Raw genomic sequence first — 15,456 nt, 5'->3', positions numbered from 1 at the left:
TTTCTATATAATATGATTGAAAGGCAGATTTACAAAAATTTATCTATTGATGAAGATAATGAGGACAAGACCTTTATAAATACATTTGCATGCTCTCTTGGTTTTAGCATACACCACTGTACCTCATTAGTCAAACTCTACTGGAGACTGATTTCAGTAATAAAAAAAACTCCAGTCTCCTGCACAGAAGGCTCTGCATAAATTACTCTTTCTCTATTGTAATTCCCATCATGATAAATTGATTCTGTCCATGCAGCAGCAAGGTGAACCCACTGGGTGGTTACAAATATGGGGGCTCGTCCAGGAATGGCCTTGTGACTACCAGCCCATGGTTCAGTAGCCCCACTCTGGCAATGGATCCAGAGGCCAGCCCAAGTGGCTGCCTAGTTCTCTTGGACTGGGGGTTGACTCTGCTACTCTTGGCAGGGTGCTGCCCACCCAATGTGCATGGATTTAATTGTAATACGGAAATAGTCCTGGTGAGACATCCCGTAACTGTAGCCCCCTCACAGGGTATCTGTAGCTCCATGGCAGAGTGTCTGTAGCTGTAACTCTATTACAAGGTGTCTGGTTTGGTGAGTATCCTAGGCGTTGCCAATGCCTCCTTCTTTCTCCCAAATGGTTCGGTAGCCCCATGATGGGGTGTCTGTCCACAGCCCCATTGTGGGGTATCTGTTTGTAGCTCCACCATGGGGTGTCTATCTCAGTTCAGCTCCTTCGGGGGTCTTGGTTTGTCTATAGCCCCACTGTGGGGTGTCTGTCTCAGTTCAGCTCCTGGGAGTCGTGGTTGGCTCTCCCTAACTAGTAGGAAGTCTTGGTTCAGGAGACTTCTCCTTAATCAGGAAAATTTCAGGGAGAATTTCTCAGACTAAGAATAGGAGGATAGTTTAGAAGAGATACTCTTGGAGTTCTTGATTAGGAATCTGATTTGGAAGGCCTTCTGTCCATCTTGTCTTAGTGTATGTTTGTATATGTGGAGGGGATCTCAGAAGGAATTGTCGATGGAAGTCCCACAGTCCTAACTCAGAGAACTTTCCTTGTCTGATTACATTCCATGAGCCTGAAAGAATGCTCAACAGACCTGTCTCAGGGTGACTATCCACTCTTCACCTTGCCCAGAGATCACCCATTGTGAATTACCATTCAGAGGTCATCCTTCCCCACCTGGAGGAGATCAAAGACAACAGGGGACCAAGAGGAGAAAATTTGAGCTTTGCCAGGTTGATATTGGGTGCTGAATGAGGTGACTGGTGTCTTGTTTTGTTACGTGTATTTTGCTAGACGGAAAATGTTAATTCAGTTCCCCATGCAGCCCATTAGGCAACATCTTGAAAAATTGAGAATCTTTTGTCTATGGTTCCATAAAACAGAAAAGGTGGCTTTTGTAAAGTGGCTTGAACCCCACAGCTATGGCACATCAAGCAGGGTCATCAAAAGTTGCTCCATTCTTCTGGAAGCTGCAGAGAAAAGGAACCTGGAAACCTGGTATGCCAGCAAAAAAAAAAGCATATGAAATTCTTACCAGCCAAGTTTCTGGTCTCTTTCTCTCTCTCTCTTTCTCTGTGTGTGTATGTAAATGGTAGACATCACTATTTGTCTTCTCTGCATGAGTCTGATTGATAGAAAAAAGGATTTGTGAAACTAGTCTTAGGCTGTAGCAAATCTGGTGTGCTTTGTGCTAAGAATTTGTCTTTCTGTGTCATTCTGTAATAGGTATCACAGGATACAATGATGGTTTAGGGCCCCTATAAGGCTGCTTTTAAAGCCAGCCTAGCAGGCTGGTCAGTTACAAACTTTGCTGTGGGACCCTGACACCAATACTGGATGAAATTTCTCTATCTTGTGTTGTGTCCTTAAGAGCTTAACTTTGTGACCATGTGGGGATACTTTCCCTTGGTTTCTGCCATCCAGAGGACAGTAATTTTATGGTTCATATCATAGCCCTAAAATTATCTTGAGCAGTTAAGAGCCTCTGCAAGCTTGAAATTGGCTGCTTTAGACTTCTTCTGGGAAGAGCAATAGAAACTGCTCAATGCTGTGTAGCTCAGTAGCTAAAGCTTTGTTTTTTGACAATGGCAGTCCAGATTCAATTCTTGGCTTCCGGAATAATTTCTCTCTGGTTTATTATTTGTGTAACTTTGCCACAGATTAAGGTTTTCTTCCCCTCAACAATCGCTTCTGAGTTCCTGTCTTGAATTTTCCTTTCTCTGAACTACCCTTGGGGAGATTATAAATCTTATTTAAAAAAAAAATGCTTACCATCTCTTTAAAACACTTTATGCATCCATGGTTAACTTATAACCTTAGTTAAAAATTATTAATTTCATGTGGAAAATTACCTGTGGTAGAATTCAAAAGCCAGAATTATTGGCAGTTCTGGCTAGAGTCTGGTAATAAGAAATTTAAAAGAATTTTTCTTTAGAAAAAAAGAGCTCTATGGAGAAAACTGTAAAGGGTTCTAAAAAGGTTTATAAAAATATTACCTTATGGTTAAACTAATTTAAACTACATAGATTTATAATATTTTATTTTAAAAACTAGCTTTAACATTGAAGATGCACTAATGCAAACATGAAATTTGGTTTTCTCATTTGAAAAAGATTTTTATGTAATATTAAAAGATAATGAAAGGGGTTTTTTTGCCCCTTTGGGTAAATGGCAGGGAAAAAGGGGGAGGAAGGACAAGGTATCAGTTGGCCTCATGCTATCTCCATTGGGTCTTGTTTGGAAAACTAAAACTCTTCAGAGTAAAGGGTTTTGCCTTAAAAAATATATTTTTTTCAAGTTACCACCTCGGATAAGTAAATAAACTGTGATCCTATTTTGTGATATCCAGTGTTTTAAGCCTTTGATATTTGACAAACTTTCCAAAATCAAATTATAAAGTATGTCACTTTCTGACCTAATTAATCCTTTAGACATTAGGTCCCCTGAAGTCCAAAAATGATGTGTTGGCTTATCTGGTATAAAAATCATACAGGAAGCACTATCAAATTTAAAATGCTGTTTGGCTTTCTTTGGGCTGTATTTGTGTAAATGTGTTATAGGTATATGCTCCAAAATTATGTGACACTCCTATAATTCTGATATGACTTAGTATATGATGTCATTAATAATTATAATTATGTTAAATTATTGTGTACCACAGAGGTAACAGATTTTCTTGTCAATTGTGTCTTTAACTATGGCTGCCCTAAGATTTTTTTGTCATCCATAGGCAATTGTTGCCTTATTTTGATCCTCTTTAAATGGTGGTTTCCTAATCAGCTACAAAACTTTGACAGGTGCTCTTGAATGCAAATTTCTTATAACTTTGGAATTTATGACATTAGAATAAAGAGAAAAAACTTCCAAGACTCCCGCAGAGAGTTGAAATGTTCATGAATATCAAGCAGAACAGGAGTTAACTGAACTATCAGAAAACTAAAGTAATCTTTTTCTTACTTTTTTGCATAAAACACTGCTGATCCTTTTTGTTTTCCAGAGCCAAGAAAACTTTTCTTTTGAGATATTTATAGCTTTTAACAATTTAGTAAAATACATTCCTATGAACAAAATTTGGAGCATATTTGTCTCTCTACCTTGGAAACTACTTGTGAGTATTCTCAACTTACGGCAGTATAGTTATTTGCATAAGTGCCATAAGAATCTGTTTTCTTTTGTAACTGGACACAATTGGAGAAACTGGTTATTTTACCAAGGCTTTGACTGGAATGGCATACTTTCTTTAAATAATCGAGGTTGACTTATAGAGCCAATAACAGCCCCTTGGGAAATCTGGCCTCATACTCTGTCCACACAGTCCCTGTACAAGGTTCCTGATCTGTGGTAAGTAAAGAATGTCACTTTCTAACAGGCCTAGGAGCCCTGAGTTATCCTGGGACCTCAAGAGGAGAGGAATTTTCCCAACTCATAGGTATTTGAGGTACAAGCCCACGGCTGTGCTCGGCTTTAAAATATCTTATCCGAGATTCCTTATGGAACAGAGTTCACCAAAATCAATTTTAAAAAGCCTATGTGAAAAATAATCTTGCTGCACCGTATGCAATAATTAGGCCAATTACAATAAGACTAAAGTTCATTTTGTAAACAAATTAGTTCTATCATGATTTGCTTTTAATAAAAATGGGGACTGGAGAGAGAAAAATTATGCTTCAAAAGAAAATACTATAGTACACCTGTTGTTAGCTGTTCTTGAGTTTTTTTCTGCAGTTTGGACAAAATCCTAAATTCTTTGTGGGCTACAAGTTCCCAAACTAATGCTCTCAGATTTTTACTTTTAAAACTGGGAACTGCACTCCTTGTCCTAGAGTCATCATTTACCTTATAGTATACTATTCCCTTAAATGCTGTACTAAAACTATAAATGACAATACTAACGCCTTTAACATGCAAGCCTTGGAAGCCCAGCCTGCCCTGTGTGAGTATGATCAGACAGTTGCAAAGTGGTTCCACTCCTCTCACCTTGGGGTCAGCACCTACCCCCACTATGCCCCTGATCAGCAGGAAGAAGTTAGAGAAGTCTTCGCCCTTTTTCCATCTTCATTAGCCAACACCTTAAGATTAAGAGTTATAAAACCTAAAGAGAGGGATTGAAACCACCATTGCAAAATTACACCTTAGACAGTGAAAGAGACCTGACCTAACCAACTCCATCTTGCTTCTAACCTCCAAGCTCTCCTTGTTCATTCCTGGGCATAGGTTGATCTAACTTTGGGAGGAACATAGTTTCTAGTTTCTAGTTTAAAAAAAGATAACAGGCCTTTCCCAAAACAAGCCTCTTTCTTGCCTGGAGATTAGACTGCCTTTGTAGGACTAACAAATTAGCCACGAGATTAGAAATTATAGTTTAGGAGTCATGCAGCTGAAAGCTACAAGATTCTGACCCTACCTGAACTGCTCCTAAGATCAGTGCTTGAGATATTTTGCAGACCTGCACTTAATGGATCAGGTGGCACTACCCAGATCGATAAACTGACTCATCTGATCTCGTAGCCCCCACCCAAGAACTGATTCAGTACAAGAAGACAGTTTCTCCTCCCTATGATTTCATCACTGACCTGACCAATCGGCACTCCCAGCTCACGGGCTTCCCCTACCCACTAAGTTGTCCTTTAAAACCCTGATCCACAGGCCAGGCGCGGTGGTTCATGCCTGTAATCCCAGCACTTTGGGAGGCCGAGGCGGGCAGATCATGAGGTAAGGAGTTCAAGACCAGCCTGGCCAATATGGTGAAACCCCATCTCAACTAAAAATAAACAATTAGCCAGGCGTGGTGGTGTGTGCCTGTAGTCCCAGCCACTCAGGAGGCTGAGGAAGAAGAATCGACTGAATCCGGGAGGCGGAGGTTGCAGTGAGCCAAGATCGCGCCACTGCACTCCAGCCTGGGTGACAGAGCGAGACTCTGTCTCAAAACAAACAAAAAAACTCTGATCCCCAAATGCTGGGGGAGACTGACTTAAGTAATAATAAAACTCTGAGGTCCTGAAAAAAAAAAAAAAACTTGTCTTCTTTAATTCAAAAATATTTTAGTTAAAATATAATTTTCCCCTAAATTGCCCCATATCTTTTTTATAATGTTTTGATTTTTATCAAATTAACACATAAACAAAGGGACTTCCAGAAGTTCATGGAAAATGGAACTAAAAGATAAAAACAAAAAATATAAACTTAATTTTTTAACATAAGCTCCATCAAGATCAAGACATTTCTATAAACCATAATACCAGCCATATAGTCCATCCCAAAAGAATCGAGGGTCCTGGAAATTTAACCATGTCAATGCAGTCTTTTTTATATTATTAACTTAAGAAAAATGGGTGCCTTTTAACAGATTTTTTTAAGGAAACAAAAAGAAGTCAGAAAAATCCAAATCAGGACTGTAAGGTGGATGTCTAATGATTTCCCATCAAAACTCTCACAAAATTGCCTTTGTTTGATGAGAGGAGGAGCAGGAGCATTGCCATGATGGAGATGGACTCTCTGGTGAAGCTTCCTTGGGCTTTTTTCTGCTAAAGCTTTAGCTAACTTTCTCAAAATACTCACCAGAAGCAAATGTTATTGTTCTTTGGCCCTCCAGAAAGTCAACGAGCTAAATGTCTTGAGCATCCCAAAAAACTCTTTGGTACCTTTGCTCTTGACCAATCCACTCTTGCTTTGACTGGACCACTTCCACCTCTTGGTAGCCATTGCTTTGATTGTAATTTGTCCTCAGAATCATACTGGTAAAGCCATGTTTCATCTCCTGTTACAGTTCTTCAAAGAAATGCTTCAGGATCTTAATACCATTTGTTTAAAATTTTCATTGAATGCTCTATTCTTACCTGCAGCTAATCTGGGTGCAAGAGTTTGGGCACCCATTGAGTGAAAAGTTTGCTCAACTGTAATTTTTCATTCAGAACTCTGTGTGCTGAACCAAGTAAGAGGTCTACAGTGTGGGCTATAAATGTTTCTGCTGTTAATTGTCAGTCCTCTGCAATTCAGGCACGAACAAAATTAATTTTTTCTTCATGAATTGACGCGGATGATCTGCCACTAAGGTATTCAACATTGTTTCATCCATTCTTAAAATGAGCTATATATTTGTAAGCTGCTGATTTCTTTGGGGCATTGTCCCCATAATGTATTTACAAAGTATCAATGATTTCACCATTCTTCCAACCAAGCTTAACCATAAATTTGATGTGTGTTCTTGCTTCATTTTTAATATTAACAGAATTCATATTGCTGTGATGGGGCACTTTCCAAACTGCTACCTTGTCCTTCTTAGTGCCTCAAATTGGATTCTGCTCAGACACATTATAACAAGTTAGATTGAGTTTATCTGGGTAGAAAGAAAATGTAAAATCCATTTGTAGTTTTTTTCATAATATGCATTTTCCATGAACTTTTTGTTGTTGTTTTTGTTGTTGTTTTGTTGTTGTTGAGATGGAGTCTCACTGTGTCATCCAGGCTAGAGTACAGTGATGCAATCTAGGCTCACTACAACCTCCGCCTCCTGGGTTCAATTGACTCTCCTGCCTCAGCCTCCTGAGTAGCTGGTATTACAGGCGACCACTACCATGCCCAGCTAATTTTTGTATTTTTAGTAGAGACAGGGTTTCACAATGTTGGACAGGCTGGTCTTGAACTCCTGACCTTAAGTGATCTGCTCGCCTCAGCCTCCCAAAGTGCTGGGATTACAGCCATGAGCCACCACACCCAGCCCCATGAACTTTTTTAAGTCCTCTCGTACATCGTTTTTTAAAAGTCAAAAAGTTCTACAGAGTATATAAGAAAAATGGCAGTACCTTGCTCTACATCTCCTCACCCCTCAATTGTAACCCCCAGAAGAAATCACTATCAACTCTTCTAGATTTTCTCCTGACATCTATTGTCATATTTATAAATAAAATATATATTGTGCTGAATTTATTTTGTACACTGTTTATTGATTTCCTATTTGGAAAGAGGAAATGTTAACACATACACACATATATACACACATTTCTTCCATTTTCCTTTCCCTCCCCCATCCACCCAAAAGAGCAACATCACAATTTCTGGTAAATAAATATTTGGTGTTTGCCTTATGATATGGTTTGGCTTTGCGTCCCCACCCAAATCTCATCTTGAATTGTAATCCCATAATTCCGACATGTCATGGGAGGGACCCGGAGGGAGGTAATTGAATCACAGGGGAAGTTTCCCCCATGCTATTCTCATGATAGTAAGTTCTCATGAGATCTGATGGTTTCATAAAGGGCCTCTGCCTTCACTTTGCTCTCATTTTTCTTCCTGGTGCCACGTAAAGAAGGATGTGTTTGCTTCCCCGTCTGCCATGATTGTAAGTTTCCTGAGGCCCCTACCAGCACTGCAGAACTGTGAGTCGATTAAACTTCTTTATAAATTACCCAATCTCAGCCAGCTTTTTATAGAAGCATGAGAACATACTAATACAGTAAATTGGTAACAGAAGTGGGGTGCTGCTATAAAGATACCCAAAAAAAGAAAACCCAGACTAAGATGGCCAAATATGAAAAGCTCCGGTCTGCAGCTCCCAACAAGACCAATGCAGAAGGTGGGTGATTTCTGCATTTCCAACTGAGGTACCAGTTCATCTCATTGGGACTGGTTAGACAGTGAGTGCAGACCATGGAGAGCGAGCAGAAGCAGGGTGGGTTGTCACCTCACCCATGAAGTGCAAGGGGCCAGGGACCTCCCTCCCCTAGCCAAGGGAAGCCGTGAGGGACTGTGCTATCAGGCCCAGATACTATGCTTTTTCCCACGGTTTTTGCAACCCGTAGACCAGGAGAACCTTCATGTGCCTACACCACCAGGGCCCTGGGGTTTCAAGCACAAAACTGGGCAGCTATTTGGGCAGACACCAAGCTAGCTGCAGGAGTTTTTTTTTTTTTTTTCCTACCCCAGTGGCACTTGGAACACCAGCAAGACAGAACTGTTCACTCCCCTGGAAAGGGAACTGAAGCCAGGGAGCCAAGTGGTCTCACTCAGTGGGTCCTACACCCAGGGAGCCCAGCAAGCTAAGAACCACTGACTTGAAATTCTCGCTGCCAGCATAGCAGTCTGAAGTCGACCTGGATGATCAAGCTTGGTGCAGGGAGAGGCGTGCGCCATTACTGAGGCTTCAGTAGGCGGCTTTCCCCTGACAGTGTTGAGGAAGCCCAGAAGTTCAGACTGGGCAGAACTCACCACAGCACAGCAAAATGGCTGTGGCCAGAGTGCCTCTCTAGATTCCTTCTCACTGGGCAGGGCATCTCCGAAGAAAAGGCAGCAGCCCCAGTCAGGGGCTTACGGATAAAATTCCCATCTCCCTGGGACAGAACACCTCGGTAAAGGGGTGGTTGTGGGTGCAGTTTCAGCGGACTTAAAAACGTTCCCACCGCCACTGCACTCCCGCCTGGGCCACAGAGCGACACTCCGTCTCAAAAAAAAAAAAAAAAGTTCCCACCTACTGGCTCTGAAGAGAGCAGTGGATCTCCCAGCACATTGTTTAAGCTCTGATAAGGGACAGACTGCCTCCTCAAGTGGGTCCCTGACTCCTGTGCCTCCTGACTGGGAGGCGCATCCCAGCAGGGGTTGACAGACACCTCATACAGTAGAGCTCCAGTTGACATAAGGCTGGTGCCCCTCTGGGACAAAGCTTCTGGAGGAAGGAGCAGGCAGCAATCTTTGCTGTTCTGCAGCCTCCGCTGGTGATACCCAGGAAAACAGGGTCTGGACTGGACCTCCAGAAAACTCCAGCAGATCTGAAGAAGAGGGGCCTGACTGTTAAAAGAAAAAACTAACAAACAGAAAGCAATAAAATCAACATCAACATCAACAAAAAGGACACCCAACCAAAAACCACATCCAAAGGTCATCAGCATCAAAGAGCAAAGGTAGATAAATCCACGAAGATGAGGAATAACCAGCACAAAAATGCTGAAAATTCCAAAAGCCAAAATATCTCTTCTCTTACAAAGGATCGTGGCTCCTCTCCAGCAAGGGCACAAAACAGGACAGAGAATGAGAATGAGTTTGACGAATTGACAGAAGTAGGCTTCAGAAGGTGGGTAACAATAAACTCCTCTGAGCTAAAGGAGCATGTTTTAATGCAACGCAAGGAAGCTAAGAACCTTGATAACAGATTACAGGAACTGCTAACTAGAATAATCAGTTTAGAGAAGAACATAAATGAACTGATGGAGCTGAAAAACACAGCACAAGAACTTCATGCAGCATACACAAGTATCAATAGCCAAATCAATCAAGCAGAAGGAACAATATCAGAGTTTGAAGATCAACTTAAAGAAATAAGGCATGAAGACAAGATTAGAGAAAACAAAATGAAAAGGAATGAACAAAGCCTCCAAGAAATATGGGACTCTGTGAAAAGACCAAACCTACGATTCACTGGTGTATCTGAAAATGATGAAGAGAATGGAAGCAAAGTAAAAAAAAAAATTTCAGGATATTATCCAGGAGAACTTCCCCAACCTAGCAAGACAGGCCAACATTCAAATTCGGGAAATACAGAGTATACCCCTAAGATATCCTCAAGAAGAGCAACCACAAGACACATAACCATCAGATTCTCCAAGGTTGAAATGAAGGAAAAAATGTTAAGGGCAGCCAGAGAGAAAGGCCAGGTCATCTACAAAGAGAAGCCCATCAGACTAACAACAGATCTCTCTGCAGAAACCCTACAAGCCAGAACACAGTGGGAGCCAATATTCAACATTTTAAATAAAAGAATTTTTAACTCAGAAATTCATACCCAGCCAAACTAAGTTTCATAAGTAAAGGAGAAATAAAATTCTTTACAGACAAGCAAATGCTGAGGGATTTTGTCACCACCAGGCATACCTTACAAGAGCTCCTGAAGGAAGCACTAAATATGGAAAGGAAAAGCTGGTACTAGCCACTGCAAAAACACACGAAATTATAAAGACCTATGACACTATGAAGAAACTGCATCAACTAATGTGCAAAATAACCAGCTAGCATCATGATGACAGGATCAAATTCACACATAATAGTATTAACCTTAAATGTAAATGGGCTAAATGCTCCAATTAAAAGACACAAACTGGCAAGTTGGATAAAAAGTCAAGACCCATCCATGTGCCATATTCAGGAGACCCAGCCTCATGTGCACACATAGGCTCAAAATAAAGGGATGGAGGAATATTTACCAAGCAAATGGAAAGCAAAAAAAAAAAATCAGGGGTTGCAATGCTAGTCTCTGATAAAATAGACTTTAAACCAACAAATATCAAAAAAGACAAAGAAGGGCATTACATATTGGTAAAGGGATCAATGCAACAAGAAGACCTAACTATCCTAAATATATATGCACCCAATTCAGGAGCATCCAGATTCATAAAGCAAGTTCTTAGAGATGTACAAAGAGACTTAGACTCCCACACAATAACAGTGGGAGACTTTATACCCCACTGTCAATATTAGATCAATGAGACAGAAAATTAACAAGGATATTCAGGACTTGAACTCAGCTCTGGACCAAGAGGACCTAATAGACATCTACACAATTCTCCACCCCAAATCAACAGAATATACATTCTTCTCAGCACCACACAGCACTTATTCTAAAATCGACAACATAATTGGAAGCGAAACCCTCCTCAGGAAATGCAAAAGAATGGAAATCATAACAAACAGTCTCTCAGACCATAGTGCAATCAAATTAGAACTCAGGATTAAGAAACTCACTCAAAACTGCAAAACTACATGGAAACTGAACAACCTGCTGCTGAATGACTACTGGGTAAATAACAAAATAAAAACAGAAATAAATAAGTTATTTGAAACCAATGAGAGCAAAGACACAACATACCAGAATCTCTGGGACACAGCTAAAACAGTGTTTGGAGGGAAATTGATAGCACTAAATGCTCACATCAGAAACTGAGAAAAATCTAAAATCAACACCCTAATATCACAATTAAAAGAACTAGAAAAGCAAGAGCAAACAAATTCAAAAGCTAGCAGAAGACAAGAAATAACTAAGCTCAGAGCAGAACTGAAGGAGATAGAGAAACGAAAAACCGTTCAAAAAAATCAATGAATCCAGAAGGTGGTTTTTTGAAAAGATTAACAAAATAGATACACCACTAGCAAGACTAATAAAGAAGAAAAGAGAGAAGAATCAAATAGACACAATAAAAAATGATAAAGGGGATATCACCACTGATCACACAAAACTACAAACTTCCCTCAGAGAATACTATAAACACCTCTATGCAAATAAACTAGAAAATCTTGAAGAAATGGATAAATTCCTGGACACACACGCCCTCCCAAGACGAAACTGGGAAGAAGTCAAATCCCTGAATAGACCAATAACAAGTTTTGAAATTGAGGAAGTAATTAAGAGCCTACCAACCGAACAAAGCCCAGGACAAGAGGGATTCACAGTTGAATTCTACCAGAGGTACAAAGAGGAGCTGGTACCATTCCTTGGGGAACTATTCCAAACAATAGAAAAGAGGGACTCCTCCCTAACTCATTTTATAGGCAAGCATCATCCTGTCACCAAAACATGGCAGAGACACAACAAAAAGAAAAGAAAATTTCAGGCCAATATCCCTGATGAACATCGATGCAGAAATCCTCAATAAAATACTGGCAAACTGTATCCAGCAGCACATCAAAAAGCTTATCTACCACGATCAAGTCAGCTTCATCCCTGGGATGAACAGCTGGTTCAACATACGCAAATCAATAAACATAATTAGTCACGTAAACAGAACCAATGACAAAAACCATATGATTATCTCAACAGATGCAGAAAAGGCCTTCAATACAATTCAACACCCCTTCATGCTAAAAACACTCAATAAACTAGGTATTGATGAAACATATCTCAAAATAATAAGAGCTATTTATGGCATATCCATAGCCAATATCATACTGAATGGGCAAAAGCTGGAAGCATTCCCTTTGAAAACCAGCACAAGACAAGGATGCCCTCTCTCACCACTCCTATTCAACATAGTATTGGAAGTTCTGGCCAGAGCAATCAGGCAAGAGAAAGAAATAAAGGGTATTCAAATGGGAAGACAGGAAGTCAAATTGTCTCTGTTTGCAGGTGACATGATTGTATATTTAGAATACCCCTTGTCTCAGCCCAAAAACTCGTTAAGCTGATAAGCAACTTCAGCAAAGTCTCAGGATACAAAATCAATGTGCAAAAATCACAAGCATTCCTACACACCAATAATAGACAAACAGAGAGCCCAATCATGAATGAACTACCATTCACAATTGCTACAAAGAGAATAAAATGCCTAGGAATACAATTTACAAGGCATGCAAAGGACCTCTTCAAAAAGAACTACAAACCACTGTTCAAGGAAATAAAAGAGGACACAAACAAATGGAAAAATCATTCCATGCTCATGGATAGGAAGATTCAGTATCGTGAAAATGGCCATGCTGCCCAAAGTAATTTATAGATTCAATGTTATTTGAATAACCATCAAGGTACCACTGACTTTCTTTACAGAATTACAAAAAACTACTTGAAATTTAATATGGAATTAAAAAAAGCCCATATAGCCAAGACAATCCTAAGCAAAAAGATCAAAGCTGGAGACATCATGCTACCTGGCTTCAAACTATACTACAAGGCTACAGTAACCAAAACAACATGACTGGTACCAAAACAGATATATAGAACAATGGATCAGGACAGAGGCCTCAGAAATAACACCACAGGTCTACAACCATCTGATCTTTGACAAAAACAAGCAAAGAGGAAAGGATTCCCTATTTAATAAATGGTGTTGGGAAACTGGCTAGCCTTATGCAGAAAACTGAAACTTGATCCCTTCCTTAAACATTATACAAAAATTAACTCAAGATGGATTAAAGACTTAAACCTAAAACCTAAAACCATAAAAACCCTAGAAGAAAACCTAGGCAATACCATTCAGGACATAGGCATGGGCAAAGTCTTCATGACTAAAACACCAAAAGCAATTGCTACAAAAGCCAAAATTGACAAATGGGATCTAATTAAACTAAAGAGGCTCTGCACAGCAAAAGAAACTATCATCAGCGTGAACAGGCAACCTACAGAATGAGAGAAAATTTTTGCAGTCTATCCATCTGACAAAGGGCTAATATCCAGAATCTACAAGAAACTTAAATTTACAAGAAAAAAAAATCCCATCAAAAAGTCAGTGAAGGATATGAACAGACACTTCTCAAAAGAAGACATGTGGCCAACAAACATATGAAAAAAAACTCATCATAACTGGTCATTAGACAAATGCAAATCAAAACCACAATGAGATACCAACTCACACCAATTAGAATGGTGACCATTAAAAAGTCAAGAAACAACAGATGCTGGAGAGTATCTGGAGAAATAAGAATGCTTTTACACTGCTGGTGGGAGTGTAAATTAGTTCAACTATTGTGGACAGTGTGGTGATTCCTCAAGGATCTAGAACTAGAAATATCATTTGACCCAGCAATCCCATTACTGGGTATATACCCAAACGATTATAAATCATTCTACTATAAAGACATGCACATGTATGTTTATTGCAGCACTATTTCCTATAGCAAACACTTGGAAACAACCCAAATGCTCATCAATGATAGACTGGATAAAGAAAATGTGGCCCATATATGCCATGGAATACTATGCAGCCATAAAAAAGAATGAGTTCATGTTCTTTGCAGGGACATGGATGAAGCTGGAAACCATCATTCTCAGCAAACTAACACAGGAAGAGAAATCCAAACACTGCATGTTCTCACTCATAAATGGGAGTTGAACAAAGAGAACACATGGACACAGGGAGGGGATCATCACACTCTGGGGCCTGTTGGGGCATCAGGGGCAAGGGGACAAGAGCATTAGGACAAACAGCTAATGCATGCGGGGCTTAAAACCTAGATGATGGGATAATATGTGCAGCAAACCAACATGGCACATGTATACCTATGTAACAAACCTGCACATTCTGCACATGTACCCCAGAACTTAAAGTAAAACAAAAATAAATAAATAATAAAAATAAATAAATAGATTAATAAAATAAATAAACAAAGATACCCAAAAATGTGGAAGTGACTTTGGAACTGGGTAACAGGCTGAGGTTGGAACAGTCTGGAGGGCTCTGAAGAAGATAGGAAAATGTGGGATAGTTTGACACTTCCTGGAGAATTGAAGGGCTCAGAAAACTGGAAGATGTGGGAAAGTTTGGAACTTCCTAGAGACTTGTTGAATGCCTTTGACCAAAATGCTGATAGTGATATGAACAATAAAGTCCAGGATGAGGTGGTCTCAGATGGAGATGAGGAATTTGGAGGGAACTGGAATAAAGGTTACTCTTGCTATGCAAAGAGACTGGCAGCATTTTGCCCCTGTCCTAGAGATCTGTGGGACTTTGAACTTGAGAGAGATGATTTAGGGTATCTGGTGGAAGAAATTTCTAAGCAGCAAAGCATTCAAGAGGTGACAGAGCATAAAAGTTTGGAAAATTTGCAGCCTGACAATGCTGTAAAAAAAGAAAAATTCATTTTCTGAGCAGACATTCAAGCCCACTGCAGAATTTGCATAAGTATTACGCAGTCGAATGTTAATCACCAGGACAATGGGAAAAATGTCTCCAGGGCATTCCAGAGACCTTTACTGCAGCCCCTTCTATCACAGACCTGGAGGCCTAAGATGAAAAAATGGTTTTGTAGGCTGGACCCAGGAGCCCCCTGCTCTATGCAGCCTCAGGACATGGTTCCCTGCATCCCAGTTGTTTCAGCTCTAGCTATGGCTAAAAGGGGCCAATGTAAAGCTTAGGCCATTGCTTCAGAGGGTACAAGTCCCAGGCCTTGGCACCTTACAAGTGGTACTGGGCCTGCAGAAGCACAGAAGTCAAGAAGTGAGATTTGGGAACCTCCACCTAGATTTTAGAGGATGTATGGAAATGCCTGGGTTTCCAG

The 15,456-nt window shown here is 40.1% G+C and overlaps 1 protein-coding gene across 9 annotated transcripts in view; it reads right to left on the bottom strand.

Annotated features, from left to right (window-relative positions):
* The window catches only part of XKR9 (XK related 9), a 396,467-nt gene that overhangs the window by 332,976 nt on the left and 48,035 nt on the right, over positions 1-15,456 (bottom strand). The window contains exon 5 of one of the 9 annotated variants that reach the window (XM_017013405.3): positions 3,507-4,579. The exons of the other annotated variants lie outside the window; for them this stretch is intronic. Within the exon in view, the coding sequence (XP_016868894.1) occupies positions 4,500-4,579 (80 nt within the window). The 3' untranslated portion in view covers positions 3,507-4,499. Of the gene's footprint in view, positions 1-3,506; positions 4,580-15,456 lie in introns of those variants that run through there. 9 annotated transcript variants of the gene reach the window in all.

This window comes from Homo sapiens, chromosome 8, assembly GCF_000001405.40.
Source record: "Homo sapiens chromosome 8, GRCh38.p14 Primary Assembly".
NCBI lineage: Eukaryota > Metazoa > Chordata > Mammalia > Primates > Hominidae > Homo > Homo sapiens.
Note: the sequence above shows the minus strand (reverse complement) of the source record. Positions and strands in the feature narration are given on the sequence as shown.